Genomic DNA, 18,951 nt, shown 5'->3' on the forward strand with positions numbered 1-18,951 from the left:
GCTTTATGTGTATTCTGGTTTAAACTGATTTTGCTTTAGCTGAGACCTTTATGACTGTTAATATATATCTGTTTTATAAGATTAGACTTTTACATCAAATTCTTTACTCCTAGATACAAAAGCAATGTTTTTATTGAAGATATGGATGCCTAGTGCATAACATCAAAATAATTTAAACTCTATAATTTGTAGATTTGACACTGTAGGATATGTCTAATACTGAATATCTTCCCTCTTAGAAATTTTTCATAAATATTTAGGTAGTAGAGAGACAAAATATTCCTAGATGGTACCAATTTCTGCTCTGTTGTATGATTTCCCTACCACACTATCTAGATATTTATGAAGATTTCCCTACCACACTATCTAGATATTTATGAAAATTTTCTGGGAACAATTGGTTCAATTTGTCTTATTTTTTGCAAAACCACTCAGTAATATGTGTGTGTGTGTGTGTGTGTGTGTATACGTATATATGTATATATATATATATATATATATATATATATATAGAGAGAGAGAGAGAGAGAGAGAGAGAGAGAGAGAGAGAGAGAGAGAGAGATGGAGTCTTGCTCTGTCGTCGGCCAGGCTGGAGTGCAGTGGCATGATCTTGGCTCACTGCAACCTCCATTTTCCGTTTTCAAGCAATTCTCCTACCTCAGCCTCCTGAATAGCTGGGATTACAGGCACCCTCCATCATGCCTGCCTAATTTTCGTATTTTTAATAGAGACAGGGTTTTGCCATGTTAGCCAGGCTGGTCTCGAACTCTTAATCTCAAATGATCCTCCTGCCTCTCAGTAATATATTTGAAGTAATATTTAATATACTCATGTTAAGTGAAGTGAATAAGGTATTCATGTATACTGTTTTCATTTTTTAATGTCTGTGCTTAATATGAGGTCTAGTTTACAAAAAATGTTAGTCCTCATAAAAAAGCTAATTTTATACTAAATTTTTATTAATTATTCTTTTAAGATTTTCTTATTATTAAAGAGAAAATGTCTTGTATAACATAGGAATTTATATTTTCAGTCTTTTTCTCCTTTTTACATATGTCTCAACTACGAATTAGTTTGGACTCTTAATTTACAAAATTCTGTTATGATTTTCTTTAAAAAATAATGTATACCTGTAATGGCCTGTTTTATTACTAGCATTGTCATAAATGCTTTAGTATAAATGAATTAAGAAAAATGTTTTTAAAATATATTTTGGGGCTTAAGCAATGAAAAAAAATGTTGTGTAGAAAGATATACTTTCACTTTTGACAACTATTTTACGACAACAAATTCTCACCAGTCATAGATTATTTTTGTACGGTACCTATTTATTAGTAGATCTAATCAATAAAGCTTTTTCTTCTTAGAATGGGAAATACTCAGATTGTTTATTAGATGACATTAGAAATGACATTCTAAATTTTTTATGCACTAGAATCTTGTGATATCCCAGTATTTATGAATGCCAGAACTAAAAATGACTTCACATGGTTTAAGCTGAATGACACATTGGACTATGAATGCCATGATGGTTATGAAAGCAATACTGGAAGCACCACTGGTTCCATAGTGTGTGGTTACAATGGTTGGTCTGATTTACCCATATGTTATGGTAAGTACTGGTTTTTCAGAAATTCATTTTCAAAATGAAAATAAATCTGTTTTCCAATTTTAAAAATTTGAATTATATAGAGGAATTGTTAAGGAATGTTGATTAAAATCAAGATATCTCCTGATTTGACATAAACTGGGAAAAGAAGGGAGTTTTGAAAATATCTCTAAAGTAGTGCATTAAATTAATACTTCCTATGGGCCACCTACCTTCCAGATTTGTGATTATAATATAATTGCTTTTGTTACCCTAAATAAAAGCTTTCAAATTATTTAGAACCTAGCACTTATTACCAAAATTATAGTTGGTTACAACTTCCTCAGCTAATTTGTTTTTTTAATTTCTACTTTACATCTTCTATCTTGTGTGTTAATTTCTGTACTTTCTGAGTGTAGTTCTTTATTTTCTAAATTTGAAAAGTTCTGAAGACCATTACATGAATCTCATTTACGTTTCTCAATCAGCCATCTATTTTTCAGGGTTAGAAGAAGGATTGGCTCTGTGGGAAAACAAGTATATGCAGAGTGTTCCAAGGCAAAGAAAAATATGTGCAAAGCTGTAAAAACAAAACAATATATTTCAAGGTGGTAAAGCAGAGTCTATCCTGCTGAGGCTAGATGGGAGGCAAGGAAACAATTATCCAGATCAGCTCAAGGCATCATATCATTTGGATTCATTTTATGACTAATGAAAACCCATAAAAGAGTTTTAAGAAAAGGAATGGTATAATTTGATTTCTAGTTTTGTTGGATTGTTTTCCTGGATGCTGTACTTTTTGTAGGCAAGAGGCGACACCATGAGTCCAGGTAGGGTGAGAAAGTGTGGGGACTGAGAGAGAGTGATGATAGGGGAGGTGCAGAGCAGAAGGCTGATTTGGAAAACATTTAGGTGATGAAAAGTACAGGTGATGTTACTAAATGTTGGGTGTGAAAAAGAGTGAGATTAAGGGACTCACATGTTTGTTTTCAATTGTTTTCTCACAAGTATGTAGGTAAATGGCAATAACCATTTTGTAAAATGGTACTGACTGGATAGAATGCATTTTGAGAGGGCTTTGCAACTTTTGACTTGGACACATTATGATTGAGTCGCCAATGGAAAATCAAAACTGGATATGTGAAGTGTGGAGTTGGATATGCATCTAGAGAGGAGATATGCATTTCGGAATATCATCATATAAATGATGACGCTAAATTGGATAAGAATACAGAATGAAAAGAGCAAAGAGCTCAAGATGAAGCCCTGAAACATTACCACATTTATATATAAGACAGAAGAGCAATAGATAGTAAAGAAAATGGGGAAAAAAGGAGGACCCAGAGAAACAGGAGAAAAAATCTAGAATGTTGCCATAGACATAAAAATAAGGAAATTATTAATGAAAAGGTAGTGTAACAGATTGCTTAATAAGTCATCCTGTCTGAATTCTAATTCCACTGCTTGCTGGGCATGTATCTTTGGCCAACACAGCAAGTCTATTTGAAGCTTTGTTGACTCTTTCTTGTTGGTAAAATGTCACATATTTACAAACAGTTCTAATATTTCAAAGGATTGTGTTAGTTAGCAGACTAAAATATTTATAAATATTTATTGCCATAGTGCCTTATATAATAAAGTCAAAGAAGTTGTAATTTAATTACCTTAATATCATTATCAAAGTGATAAATATTTCTAATTTAGTTATTATATTCTGTTCAGAAATTGTGATGGATTAGGTAAGGTACAGGCCAATGACAAGTGTAACAAAAATGGATTTTAATAGAGTAGAAGAGACAGACCCTACATAGAATCTGCCAATAAAAATAATGAGCTAGACATTCAATACAGACTGTAGACATAACTCTTTCAAGATTCTGGCTTTGAATCTAATAGGAAGATCAGAATATTGCTTGAGGAAAGTTGTGCACTGAAGGGATAATTAAAAGAAAAAAGATGGAAGACACCAGAGCAGATACAGCAAAAGGGGAGCTGCAAAGGCTGAACACATGACTTACATAGTTGCCCTGAGAAAATGCGAGGGGAAAGGACTCACAGCTACTGTGGAGGTATTGTGCTTTGGTGGCAACAGGACTGCTTACAACCTTGTGACAGGTGGCAACAGGACTGCTTACAACTTTGTGACAGGAGATGGGAAGGAAAATGAGCAGTAACGTTGGAAAATGGTAGAAGCTGATGGATTCTGTTTTGAAGTATGAGACATGGTCATCTGAGATTGAATAGTGTGTGGGCGAAGGAGGAGGAAGAGTACTAGGTAGAATAGAAAAGTTTTGAAATAGTCACAGCTGAGAAAGAGAATGAGTACATTGTAGATGAAAGGCAGTGTCAAAGGTCCAGTTAAATTTGACTCATTCCTGCTGTTGTAAACACCTATCATAGGACAGGAGAAAATGGTGAAAACACAAGCACAGGTCTACTTATCCAGAGATTTTATTCTAATATAAGACAGTGGAAAACTAAAAAGAGATAAGCCAAATATCCAAGTAATAAAAATATTTAAAATATATTTTATGTATCACTGTGTACAGAGAAATAGAAAATCCAATAATTGAGATAGAAAATAGGAGGGAAGGAACTGGAGATCTGTTTTACATAGGAAGTCATCGATGCAAAGAATGGTTGAAAGCCATTTGTTATAGTGAGAAGGGTATGTGCAACAGCTGAGGCAGCGAAGAACTTGACCTTTTTAATAAAATTCAAAGATCATAAAATCTGAATCCTGGATTTAGTGGAGGAGAGAGACATTTGATAACATTGGAAGAGTAGGCATGGATCATAAAGAGGTTGAGTTTTGCTCTAATTGAGAGGGGGAGGCTTAATTTAAGAGACTCATAAATTTCTTTTCTGTGATGATAGGTAAATTTAGGTTTTATGAAGCCAGAAGCTTTTACAATTTTGAGGGGTCTTCTTCAAAAAAGAACACAAAATTGTGAATATATTGCTTCAGTAGTCTTTCCAATCACCAGACATGAAATGAAAACCTAAAGGAGAGAAAGTTGGAGTGGCGGACATAGCAGTAGAAGCTGATGTAGAAAATGTCTTTCTATTGCAAATTGTACAAAGACTTAGGATCATTTGAACACATAACTAGGAATTTGCTAGTATAGTACAGGCCTCCAAACATTAAACGAAGAAATACCAGCTTAGTATTCTTTTCAAATATTCTTCTCTCAGCCATGTAACAGAAAACTGCATGTGGATTGACAGACATCTGAGTATATTTCAAGTGTCCTAGGAGGTCTCTTCTTTGTGGAAAGGTTTCCACAGAATTGTTATTATGGAGCACTTAAGCTAAATAAGGAGTATGTATCTCAGAGTTAAAAATTCATATTAACATTTCACATATCTAGTACTAGGACTTAGGGTTTTGAGTTTTAGATGAAGAAAAATATTTCTAATTCATGGAGTGTCCATTCACATTCTTCTCTAAATCACGTTTTGTAAGTTATTACCTCTATATAAATACAGCATTTGAATAATACCCAATAATCAAGATCTTAACTTTCCTTTTTAAGATAATGCTTTTCACAATATTACAACAGACAGAATTTATATAAAATTAGCACAAAATACGTGAACAAACACACATACAAAAAAAAGAATTGCTATGTAGAAGATTGGTATAGACTTTTAGGAGAGAAATCCCAGTGATTCTCATTCAAGTGTGATTTTCTCAAATAATCTGCAAAACTCATTAAAACAAACACAAAAGCAAATTTTTGTAGTTATTATTTTGTGACATTACTTTTAAGAATAGTTTTAAATCTAATTTTGTAATTGTATTTTAATAATTGAGGTTATGATGTAATTAATTTTCTTTTTAGTATGATTCTAATTTATGAATTCTAGCTTGTACTTTTCTAAGTTAGCAAGAAAGGAGGATTCTGAATAAGAAAAATAATATTTTGGATAATATTTAGTAATGTTGCTGATTTTTAAAAATTATAAACATGTAAGAGATAATTTTACACATTTCTTATCTGAATCAGAATAATTATCAAATTTATTAAACATTGATATAAATAGTACATATAACAAAAATTGTTATATGTTAACATAAATATTCAGGATACCTAGAATTTGCCTTTCCATGTGAACTTGAAAATTTATCTTGGTTTGTTTTCTTTATTTGTAATATATTAATTATGTGTTTTTTATATTTTTTTTAACTTAAAATATATTAGAAATGCTATTTTGGGTTCTTTTTCCTTGATTACATTAAACAAAAATACCAATTTTAATTAATTTCTTAGTGCATATATCTTCACTAATAAATCTTTGATGAGAATTTACCTTTTTGTGATGTATATGTCAGTCATCAAGAATTATAAACATGATGAGACCAGAAATCATTTGAGGTTGTTTAGTTTCAGTTAAATAAAGTTATCATTGACTCTGCAATGACAGATATTATACCATCATTATTCTCGGGATCCTCCCCAGTTCTATTATAAATTTAACTTCTTAAGATATTTCCATGGTGTTTTATGATGTGTTCTTTTATTTTTAAAATTTTAATTTCTATGTTTTATATGTTTAGATGGTCCAAATGCAGTTTTGTTGCATGGATATATTGCATAGTGGTGAAGTCTGTACTTTTAGTGTATTCATCACCCAAATACTGAACATTGCACCCATTAGGTAATTTCTTATTCCTCACCCTCCTGCTATCCTGCCACATTTCTGAGTCTCCAATGTCTGTTACTCAGCACTCTCTGTCCATATGTACGCATTATTTAGCTCTCACTTATAAGTGACAATATGTGGGATTTTACTTTCTGAATCTGAATTATTTTACCTAAAATAATGGCCTTTAGTTTTATACATGTTGCTTCTGAAGGCATGATTTTATTCTTTTTTTTTCTTTTTATTTTTTGTTTTGGCTGAGTAGTATTCTATGGCATATATCTATACCACATATTCTTTATCCAATCATCTGTTGGTGGACAATTAGTTTGATTCCATATTATTGCTACTGTGAGTAGTGAGGCTATAAACATATGAGTCTGGGTATCATTTTGATATGATAATTGATTTCCTTTGGGTAGATACACAGTAGTGGGATTGCTGGGTGAAATGGTAGTTCTGTTTTTAGTTCTTTGGGAAATGTCCATTCTGTTTTCCATAGAGGTTGTACTAATTTACATTCCCACCAACAGCGTATAAGCATTCTTCTTTCTCCTCACTGTCACCAACATTTATTATTTTTTGACTATTTGACAGTGGCCACTGTGTCTAATGTAAGATGATAACTCATTTTTTTAATTCGCATTTCTCTGATGATTACTGATATTGAGTTTTTATTTCATATTTCTTGGTCATTTTCATGTCTTCTTTTGCAAAATATCTCTTCATATCCTTTGTCCACTTTTTCATGGGATTATTATTTTTTTTTCTTGTTGTGTTGTTTCAGTTCTTTGCAGATTCTGGATATTAGCCCTTTTTCAGATTCATAGTTTGCAAATATTTTCTTCCATTCTGAGGTTGTCTGTTTACTCTGTTTATTATTTCCTTTGCTGTGAAGAAAATTTTTAGTTTAATTCACAATCACCCAGAAGCAGGTCATTTAATTTTCATGTATATGGATAGTTTTGAAAATTCTTTATGATATTGATTTATAGTTATATTTCACCAAGTTCTGATAAGATACTTGATATTATTTCTAACCTTTAAAATTTTGGGAACTTGCTTTGTAGCTGTAGCCTAGCATATGGTCTATTTTGGAGAATGTTCCATGCACAGGTGAGAAAAACATATATTCTGAGGTTGTTGGGTGGAATGTCGTTAAAATGTCTGTTAGGTCCATTTGTTCTACAGTCCAATTTAAGTATGAGGTTTCTTTGTTTATTTTTTTGTCCCTGCAATCTGTCTAGTATAGTCATTGGGGGTGTGGAGGTTGCTTGCCCTCATTATATTGCTGTTTATCTTTCTACTTAGCTCTAGTAGCATTTCATTTATGAATCTGAGTGCTGAGGTTTTGAGTGCATATATATTTAGAATTGTTATATCTTCTTGCTTCCTTTATCATTGTGTAATGAACTTCTTGTCTTTTTTTTCTTGTTGATTTGAAATCTTTTTTTATATATAAATATAACTATACCAAATGCTTTTTGTTTCTGTTGTTCAAAATATCTGTCTCCATACCTTTACCATGAGTTTGTATAGGTTTCTCTAAGTTAGGTGGGTTTCTTTTGAGCAGCATGTGGTTGGTTTCTGTTTTCCAAATTTGGTCCACAAATCTATATCTTTTAAGTGGAACATTTAATCTATTTATGTTAAAAGTTAATATTGTCATGTGAGGTTTTGTTCTTGTCATTATGTTAGTTGTTACCTAGCTGGTTTGTAGTCCCAACTGTGTAATTTTTTAATAAGACCTGTGAGTTTTGTACTTTTGCATGTCTTTATGATAGTGAGTATTGACCATCTATTTCCATGTTCAGGACTCCCTGGATCATTTCTTGTGGGGTGAATTCCTAAAGTGGATTTCTAGTGGTGATGAACTTCCTTAGTATTAGCTTGTTTGGGAAAGACTTTATATATTCTTCATTTATGAAGTTTAGTTTAGCAAAATACAAAATATATCTCTAATATATGTTTTTTCAATAAATATGAACTAATCTTTCTTTAAGAACCCTGAAAATAGGACACCAATATCTTCTGGCTTGTACAGTTTCTGCTGAGAAGTCCACTGTTAGTCTTACGAGATTTCCGTTATAGTTGATTAGATGCTTTTCTCTTGCTGATTTTATAATTTTTCCCGTTCACATTGACTTTAGATAGCCTGATGACTATATGTTTGTAGAAGTTCATCTCGCAATGCATCTTCCTGGTGTTATCTGAGCCTCTTGTATAAGGATTTCTATGTCTCTAGCAAGAGGGCAAGAGGAGATAAATTTTCCTCAAAAAGGTTTTTTTAGCTTTTTCTTCTCCCTCAAGAATATCTATAACTCTTAAGTTTTCTCATTTTTTAGAACGTCATTTTTCTCAAAACCTTTGCTCATTAAAAAATGTTATTTGCTCTTTATTTTTGTCTGACAGGGTTAATTGGAAAGACCTGTCTTCAAGCTCTGAGAGCAAGTTTTTCTGCTTGATGTAATCTGTAATTAAATCTTTCAACTATATTTTGTAATTCTTCAATGAATTTTTAATTTCCATAAGTTCTATTTGTTTTTTAAAAAATATTTTTAGTACATTTTTCATTCATATCCTGAGTTTTTTTTCTAATTTCTTTGTGTTGCTTTTCAACTTTCTCTTGGACTCCATTTAGCTACTTTAAAATAAATATTTTAAATTCTTTGGTATTTCAAAGATTTTATTTTGGTTAGGACTTATTGCTGAAGAGTTAGTGTGATCCTTTGCGAGTGTTGTAATACGCTGTTTTAAATCATACTTCCAGAAATGTTTCAGTGGTTTCTTCTCATCCAGATGAACTATCCCTTCTTATTTTTAAGTCCAGTTTCCAACAGACAGGATTTTTTTTTTCCCTTTGAGAATATGACTACGATGTATGTTGTATAGGGCTATTTGGTTTAGGTTCTGGGTTCTTTCAGTGGTAAAGACTCTGTTTGAGTACCTTGGTTAGAGATAACTTTTGTATGATGGCTTTCTTAATTGCTGGTTGTAGTAGTTATGTACTGGGTGTATGACGAGGCTTACTGCCTCCTGAAGGGCTGGTATGGAGGACTACGCAGAAAACTAACCTTGTTCTGCATCATGCCCTAGTGTCAGCATTTTGCACTGGGCTGTGCAGTTCAACATTCAGGACAGTAGGTGGCACGGACAGGTAAGAGCCAGCTGCAGCAGAGGCAGATGAGCCTATGCTTGTCACTGTTTATGGGAGACTCTCTGTTGCCCCAAGGAATGGACTGATCTGTGAAAGGTACAGTGGTCTGAGGAGCTGGGGACAAAGCGGGATAGATCTGTACCACTAAGCTCACCCTTGGATGCTCCAAGGATGAGCACAAGCACCAGCCCTGACAGGGGTGTCAGGGGAAGACCCTGGGGAGATACCCGTAGCTTGTCTTTCTTGCAAGCCTGGCTTCATTGGGCACATGACCAGTGGAGTTGTAGCCACCCCCTAATACCCCTACAATGTCCGTCCTCTGGTGTGTCTACACCAGTCTCCTTTGCGAGTGACCACAGCTATGAACACAGAATTGGATCCACGGGACATGTTCCCCTCTCTACATCCGTGCCCAAGCGCTGGGACCATTGGGCTCCTGGGATGGATCTATACTCCTCCCTTGCAGAGCCAAACACCGCGTCTGCGTGTCTGCTGGAAGTGGCGTAGTCATTTTCAGCCCACAAGCAGGTTGCTCTTGCACACAGGAAAGTGAATGCTACAGTCTTCTTTGCCACAAGGGGTGTTCCTTTGTTGCACTTTCCATTAGGAATAGCCTCCCTGGTGGTTAAACTATTGGGAATGCTGTAACTCCTTTGGGTCCAGCCAGCTATGGGTGACTGCCACATCCAAGCAGGTGACAGGGAATATTTGTGCGGCTCTGGTGTTATGGGGACAGAGGGCTGAGGTTCCTGGGTAGGAAACAGTCCCCACATGAGTGCACTGCAGGCATGAAACCTACCACTGCAGCTCAGGCCCAAGGGGAAGGCAGATGACCCTATTCAACTAGTAGTTTGGTGTAATGCCCTCAAGAAGTTCCCAAATCTCCACTCACACCAGTGTGTGTGTTCACGAAGACAGAAGAGCTCTCTGATGGCTTGGATCCACACGGTGAGCTGCAGGGAGCCCAGAAGACTCCTACCTACACTTTCTATGAGGTCCCACAGGGTCCTAGTCAACCTTTGTCAGGCTCTTGCTTCTGTCTTTTTCCATGCTTTGGCTTCTCTCCATGGTTTCTCTATGACGCTCCTGCACCCTCTCTTAAATATTTTTCAAGTTATGATCATTTACCTGTAACTTTGGTTCTTCTTTCTGAGGAGAACTTGTGTCCAAACTCCTTAGTCAGTCATCTTGTTTTCAAAAAGCCCCAATTCTGGTCTATATGCACTTTTCTTTTTTAATATGAGAGAGTAATTTCATGTTTTGAGTAAAAAAAGTAATATTAAATTTCATTAATGTCAGTGATTAAAACTAGATTCATTGTAAATAAGTTGAATTTACAAATTAATTTTTAGAACAGATATATTTCAATACCATAACATTTATAATAAAGTTCCATTTCAATTTAGACAGCATATAAAACATAATATGTAGCATTCTTTACAGGGAAAAGGATTTATCTGATGCCCCTCTGTATGACCCAATATCAACCTCACTTTATTGTGGCATATGTAAAATTAACTTTGGCAATGATTAATTATATATTCTCATGAAATTATTTTACCTTTTTCAAGAAAGAGAATGCGAACTTCCTAAAATAGATGTACACTTAGTTCCTGATCGCAAGAAAGACCAGTATAAAGTTGGAGAGGTGTTGAAATTCTCCTGCAAACCAGGATTTACAATAGTTGGACCTAATTCCGTTCAGTGCTACCACTTTGGATTGTCTCCTGACCTCCCAATATGTAAAGGTGAATGCTTATCTTACAATTGCTGAAATAAGAATTAGAACTTTGAATACCAACTTTTTTCTTATTAATTTTGTTTGGGCTCCCATTGCCTGTAATCTAATGAATTAAGTCAAATATTTGCCTGTGAAGGACATGTATTGAGTACTGAATACCTGAGATTCAGTCACTTAAGTTAATCTCCACTGTTTCTTGAACGATGTGCTGGAAGTATTCCCAGACACACAGGTGTTGTCGGTCTTAGTCTACTTTAGGTTTATGTTTCTATAAAGGAATAACTGAGTCTGGATGATTTGTAAAAATGTTTTATTTGGCTCACTATACTCATGACTATAAAATTCAAGATCGGGCATCTGCATTCAGTGAGAGCCACAGAATGCTGGTAGAAAGGGAAGAGGAGCCACTGTGTCCAGAGAACACATGATGAGAGAGGAAGCAAGAGAGAGAGCAGGGCAGTGACAGGCTCTTTTTAAGAACCAGCTCTTCCAGGAGCTAATAGAGTGAGAACTCACCCTGAGAGGGGGCATTCATCTGTTCATGAGAGATCCATACCCATGATCCAAACATCTCCCATTAGACCCCACCTGAAACACTGGGGATGAAGTTTCAACATGGGGTTGGAGGTGACAAACATTTAAACCATACTAGTGGCTGACAATGGAGGGATTTCTTTGTTAATTTTCATTTTGCTTGAAATGTCAACATCCATTCTGGACATTTTATATAGTGTGGGCTGCAACTTAAGTTTCACCGGGTGTGTCTAAACAATATTTAAGCAGCTTATATTCAATTCAGTTGCTTGTATTGATTAGTCAAACTTTATGTTGATCAAATGCTTGCCTCAGTTATGATATTTTTCCAAAATGTTATGATAAAATGTTTCCATGAAATGTAAAAATTAACATGATTTTCATAACCACATTTGCTAATTGGTTTTCTTGCATCTTTAAGATATCTAGAAGTCTGAGCATATTTTAACATTTTAATATACCTTCAATATGACAATTTAGTATAAGTAATACAATATGAACACCATTCTTGATTGTTTAGGATGCTATAATAAGTTACATAATGAAGAATACATGAATAAAAGAAGAAAATCTTTCCATTTTACTGAATTTTTATATTGTAAAACAGACAATTTAACCATTATTTACATAGTATTTCTACTATAGAGCAAGTACAATCATGTGGTCCACCTCCTGAACTCCTCAATGGGAATGTTAAGGAAAAAACGAAAGAAGAATATGGACACAGTGAAGTGGTGGAATATTATTGCAATCCTAGATTTCTAATGAAGGGACCTAATAAAATTCAATGTGTTGATGGAGAGTGGACAACTTTACCAGTGTGTATTGGTAATGTATAAAATATTAATATTTAAACTTGTCAAAACTTTTGTATTTTGTATCTAAAACACATACATCATGTTTTCACAATAAACTTTTTTTGTAAAATTTACATAGTGGAGGAGAGTACCTGTGGAGATATACCTGAACTTGAACATGGCTGGGCCCAGCTTTCTTCCCCTCCTTATTACTATGGAGATTCAGTGGAATTCAATTGCTCAGAATCATTTACAATGATTGGACACAGATCAATTACGTGTATTCATGGAGTATGGACCCAACTTCCCCAGTGTGTGGGTGAGAATACCCTTCTTAAATCAACATTTAACAAAGTTTAATATTTTTATTGTAACAACAATAATTGCAACTATATTTTTGAAATTTACAGATATGCCTCAACATTTCCAGTCTTCAATATGAGACCAATCTTTTGCATATTGCTTATAATTCAATATGTGTCTAGAAAGAAAAAATAAAGCTAGTAATATAATTTTATGAATCTTTCTGCGTCTGATAACAGTATTGTTTATATTTAAAAGTGTGAAGCAACATTTTACTTACAAAAATTGTCATGTGAGGCCAGGGTGGTTGCTCACGCCTATAACCTCAACACTTCAGGAGGCCAAGGCAAGAAGATTGCTTGAGGCCAGGAGGTAGACACTAGTGTGGGCAATATAGCAAAAGCCCATCTCTATAAAAAAAATTTTGTAATTAGTTAAGGTGTGGTGGTGCATGCCTGTAATCCAGCTACTTGGGAGGCTGAGGAGGAATGATTGCTTAAGGCCAGGAATTCGAGATTGCAGTGAGCTCTATTGTGCATTCCAGCCTGGGCAACAGAGTAAGACTCTTTCTTTAAAAAACAAAAATATTAAAAAATTATCATATGATTAAATATGAGTACTAATTACTGAGAAATTATAACAGTTTTATATAAAATATAAATATTATTGTTATTGTATGGTATTCCTTTTTAGGCACTGAGAAGCAAAGAAACAAAGTTGACAAAATACCTACTTACTACTCTCCCATAGGATTCTTTTCTCTCTTAAAGCTTCCAAAAGTGATAATTTTTCAGTTTGTTCCATATCAGCCAAAATAAGTGAATGTGCTGCAGGGTTGGTGGGCCACAGGCCCTCTACATCAGTGGTATAGCTGAGTGGCATGAGGTAGTCAGGGACTGAGTCAGGACGTAAATCTCATTGACGGACTTCACACTGTAAATCTCATGTCTTGATCAGCAAGAAGGCAAGGTGATTCACTTACAGTGTGACTTGAGATGTACAATCTTTAAAATCATTTTGCCTCTTTGATGACTAACCGGGAGGATCTTGGGGACCCTCATTCACTTTTCTCTAAACTGAGATTTTTCCTAAAGTTTTCCTGGGTCCTGAATTCTAAGAGTCCTAATGTCCAATCATACTTATTTATCCAATGAAATATCCAATGATATTTTGTATTTCCCAAAGAATAAAATGTCTTCTGATAGGTATCTCTAACATTTCAGCGACAGAATACAGGGCTTATATTTTGACATAATAGCATTTTGATGCAATGTGATCAGGAATAACTTGGTTGGTGAAATTTATAATGATTAAGTCATAATTTTACCATGCTAATACTATTTACTTTATAACTATTTTTATGTAATAGTTGGTTTGATTCCTATCATTTGAATTTTCATAAAAATATATTTATTTTATAGCAATAGATAAACTTAAGAAGTGCAAATCATCAAATTTAATTATACTTGAGGAACATTTAAAAAACAAGAAGGAATTCGATCATAATTCTAACATAAGGTACAGATGTAGAGGAAAAGAAGGATGGATACACACAGTCTGCATAAATGGAAGATGGGATCCAGAAGTGAACTGCTCAAGTAAGCTCTTATTTTGTTTTCAGAAATGTATTCTATTTCTCATTTGGAAAAGTAATAGGTATGTGTGTCTTTTAAAAACTTTAGCTATTTATTATTACAAATGCTACTGAATAAGGCAGGTAAACTAGAAACTAATGAAAACACTGTTCCTAATATTAACTGTGCCCTGTGAATTAGTTACCTTTAGTATAAACACACACACACACACACGCACACACACACACACACACACACACATAAACCAGGCACTACATGTCATCATTACTGTTGGAGGACCAGTGCTTCTCATTCCTTTTCTTGTCAACAAATGTTCCTGTGCCTATACCTCTGTCTATGCCAATAACTACTATGTATCTGTTTGTATATGTCTGTATGCATGTATGTATGTATCTATATCTATTTCTGTTGATTCATTTATTTAATCTATCTCTCTGTCTATTCATCTACCTGTTCATCTACCTAATCATCTATTTATCTATTAATTTATTGTTCATCTATCTTGAAAAGTTAGTCATATTGACACATACAGTTTCACTTGAATAGTGTAGGTTTTATTCCAGTCTTCTCATATTTTATATCTGTATTTTGCTATCCAATTGTGGGTTTCCTTGCCTCACTAACTTCAATATTTTTACCAATGTCTGCCAGTCTAGGATATACAGAAAGCATTGACAACCAATACAAAAACTAATCTGCTATCAACATTTCAATATGTTTAGAGTCCTTAAAGAAGCAAATAATATATATATGCAGTGAAGTGTACATGTTCTACAGTTTTTTCTTGAAGTTTTATAGTTTTAGCCATTCTATATAGATTTATTAAAATGATCGTATAGTTATCGTCCTTTCTGTTAATGGGATGCATCACCTTTACTAATTTGCCTATGTTAAACGACCTTTACATTTCTTGGATTAAACCCATTTGATCATAGTGAATGATCTTTTTAATGTGCTGTAGGATTTGTTTTCCTAGTATAGTGTTGAGGGGTTTTGTACCTATGTTCATCAGGGGATTTTGCCTGTAGTTTTCTTTTTGCGTTGTGTCCTTGTCTGGTTTTGGTTCCAGAGTAATGTTGGGCCACTAGAATGAGTTAGAAAAATGATCTCCTCATCAAATTTTTGGAGTCGTTTTAGAAGAATTGGTATTAGTCCTTTCTAAAATGTTGTTATAATTCAGCAATGAAGCCATCAGGTCTTGGATTTTCTTTGATGGGAAACATTTTATTACTGACTTAATCTGTTGCCTCATGATTACTCTGTTCAGATTTTCTATTTCCTCTGAATTAATCGTCGTAGGCTGTGTGTCTAGAAATTTATCCATTTCTTCTAGGTTATCCAATTTGTTGGCATATAATTGCTAATAACGGTCTCTCATTATACTTTGTATTTTTTTGATATCAGTTGTAATATCACCCTTTTCATCTCCGATCTTGTGTTTCTTTAAGCCGTATCTCTCTTTTTTAGTTATTCTGGTTAAAGCTTTGTCAATTTTTGATTATCTAAAAAAAAACTATTTTCATTGATATTTTGTACTGCTTTGGGGGCTCTATTTTACTTACTTTTACTCTGATCTTTATGATTTCCATCCTTCTACTAATTTTGGAATTGACTAGTTTGTTCATGTTTTTCTGCTTCTTTGAGGTGTACTACTAGACTGTTTATTTGAGTTCTTTCCACTTTCTTGATATAGGCAATTATTCCTAAAAACATCCATCTTAGAACTACTTTTGCTGCATCCCATAAGTTTTGCTACGTTTTGTTTCCATTCTCCTTTACTGAAAATATTTTTAAATTTATTTAAAATGGTTTGACCCTATGATTGTTTCAGAGCATATTGTCTAATTTTCACCTAATTTAAAATTTTCCATAGTTCCTCCTATTATTGATTTCTCATTTCATACCTTTGTTGTCAGAAAAGTGACTTGATATGATTTCAGTCTTCTTGAATTTGATAAGACTTGTTTTGTGGCCTAACATATAACATATTCTGGGGAATATTCTGTGCGCATTTGAGAAGAATATGTGTTTTTTTGTTATGTGGAATGTTCTTTATATGTCTGTCCAATCTATTTGGTATAAATTATTGTTTAAGTTTAATGTTTCCTTATTGATATTCTGTCTGGATGATCTGTCTCAACGTTGAAAGTAAAATATTGATATCCCCTACTATTACTGTGTTGCAGTCCACATCTCCATTCAGATTCCTAAATGTTTCCTTTATATATTTAGTTGCTTTGATGTTGGGTGCATATATAGGTTTATAATAGTTGTATTATCTTGACAAATTGACCCCACTATCATTATATAATAACTTTCTTTGTACCTTTATACAATTTTTCCCTTGTCTATTTTGTCTGAAATGAGTATAACTACCCCTGTTCTCTTTTAGTTTTTATTTTTATAGGTTTTTTTCCATGCCTTCACTGCAATCTGTGAATTTACGTTACAGTGAAGTAAGTCAATTGTAAGCAGTTTATAATTGGATATTAATTTTTGATTTATTTAGTCATTCTATGCCTTTTGATTATAGAATATATTCCATTTCCATTTAAAGTAATTTTAGATAGGTAAGGATTTATAGTGGTAATTTGTTAATTGTGTTCTGGTTGTTTTTAAAATTCTTTGTTTCTTTCTTGCTTGCTTTATTCATGGTTTGATGACTTTCTGTAGCCATATGCTTAGGATTTTTTCTTTTAATCTTTTGTGTATCTATTAGATGTTTTGCTTTTGGCTATCCTTAGGCTTGCATAGCATACCTTATAAAAGGCTATTTGAAGTTGTAGTTATCCTTAGGCTTGCATAACATATCTTATAACAGGTATTTTAAGCTGATAGGAACTGAATTTTGATTACATATAAAATATCTAAATTTTACTCTGCTCCTCCCATGTTTTCTATTTGATCACATGCTTTGCATCTTTCAATAATTCGTATCTCTTAACAAAGTTTGTAGCTTCAGCTGTTCTTACCACTTTTGCCTTTTAACCTTTATGCTAGCTGTATTTACCCATCACTATTACAGTATTAGAGTGTTTGAATTTCATATTGTGCTTACTTTTACTAGTAAGTTTTATACTTTAACATCTTCATGTTACTAATTAGCATCCTCTTCTTTCACCTTCAAGAACTCCCTTTAACATTTCTTGTAAGGCAGGAAAGTGTCCTTATGCTCTCTCAGCTTTTTTTCAATCTCAGAAAGCCTTTATCACTCCTTTGTTTTTAAGACAGAATAGTGGAATCTAGAATTATTCCTTGGCAGTTGTTTTCTTTCAGAATTTTGAGTATATCATTCCACTTCCTTATGGCCTGCAAGGTTTCTGTTGAGTAATCCACTGATAGTCTTGTGGAAATTCCATTTTATGTAACCATTCACTTTTCATTGGCTTTTTTCAATACTTGGTCTATAACTTTTGATAATTTGATTGTGTTATGTCTTAAAGTGACTATCTTTCATTAAACTTATTTGATTTCCTTTGAGATTTCTGGGTGTGGGTTTCTATTTCTTTCCCAGTTGTTGAAAGTTTTCTGTCATTATTTTTTTGAATATATTTTCTGTATCGTTGTGTTTCTTTCTGTTTTTAACATGGTGATAATGCATACGTTATTCCACATGGTAGTATTCCATCTGGATCTTAAGCTATCTTCACTTTTATTTATTTATGTGTTTATTTTGGTTCTCAGATTTGGTGATTTTCAGTAATTTGACTTCAAGTTCACTAATTCCTTCTTCTCCTTCATCTAGTCTGCTGATGAATACCTCTTTAAAACTTTTCCGTTCAGTTATAGTATTCTCAAATTTGTGATTTTTGTTTGGTATTTTAAAAATACTTTCTACCTCTTTGTTGAAGTAGTTAATTTGTTTTTGCATTGCTCTCTTGGTCTCAGTGAGTATCTTTATGACCATTATTTTGAATTCTTTCTTGAGTAAAACACCTATATCCACTTCCCTCAGGTCAATTTCTGGAGACTCATCTTGTTCTTTTGTTTGGAGTTATGATATCTTGTTTCTTTATTTTCTTTAACTCACAGTGTTTCTATGCAATAGATAAGACAATGGCCTTTCTCAGTCTTATCAGACTGGCTTCATATAGGAGAAAGACCTCACTAATTTTTCCAGCCAGAGATTTTCATGTGCCTCTCAAGTCTTTGTGCGGACTGCTGTCTCTTATTTTTTGTGGCCCCCTGGAGGTTAGAATGTGCCACATCTTTTCAGGACCTGGGACCAACAAGTTAGGAGCCAGGAGGTCTAGATGTAGCTGAAAATATTGAAGACTTGGCTGTGTATTTACTTACTTCTATTTTCATAGTGAAAGTGAATGTGCGTGTTTATCTCCCACTCTCTCTCTGTATTACACCAAGTAAAGAATCTGTGGCTAATACCTGTACTAATATTCAGGCTGCATGCTCTGATCCTGAAGAGGTATCTGCTTGAAATGAGTCCATTGTATTACCAGCTTTTTGTATTCTGTGATGTAGGGCCTTTCAGGAATGCAGATCTCTATCATCTCCCAGTGTGAGTTTGTTAAGGAGACGATCTCTTGAGTTGGAGCTATAGAAGTGATGACCTTTGAATGCATGGCTAAACT

The 18,951-nt window shown here is 33.8% G+C and overlaps 1 protein-coding gene across 1 annotated transcript in view, besides 1 other annotated feature; it reads left to right on the forward strand.

Moving 5' to 3' along the window:
- CFH (complement factor H) overlaps window positions 1-18,951 on the forward strand; it is a 95,462-nt gene that overhangs the window by 62,115 nt on the left and 14,396 nt on the right. Inside the window, exons 11-15 of the mRNA NM_000186.4 lie at window positions 1,436-1,612; window positions 10,964-11,140; window positions 12,313-12,495; window positions 12,604-12,783; window positions 14,189-14,365. Of these exons, the coding sequence (NP_000177.2) occupies window positions 1,436-1,612; window positions 10,964-11,140; window positions 12,313-12,495; window positions 12,604-12,783; window positions 14,189-14,365 (894 nt within the window). The remainder of the gene's footprint in view (window positions 1-1,435; window positions 1,613-10,963; window positions 11,141-12,312; window positions 12,496-12,603; window positions 12,784-14,188; window positions 14,366-18,951) is intronic.
- Window positions 9,443-9,492: an enhancer, noted in NCBI's record as "active region_2274". NCBI's record gives its function as "activates an Ori minimal core promoter by ATAC-STARR-seq in GM12878 lymphoblastoid cells {active_cell/tissue: GM12878}" and the evidence as "EXISTENCE:reporter gene assay evidence [ECO:0000049][PMID:35858748]".

The sequence above is a fragment of the Homo sapiens genome, chromosome 1, assembly GCF_000001405.40.
Source record: "Homo sapiens chromosome 1, GRCh38.p14 Primary Assembly".
NCBI lineage: Eukaryota > Metazoa > Chordata > Mammalia > Primates > Hominidae > Homo > Homo sapiens.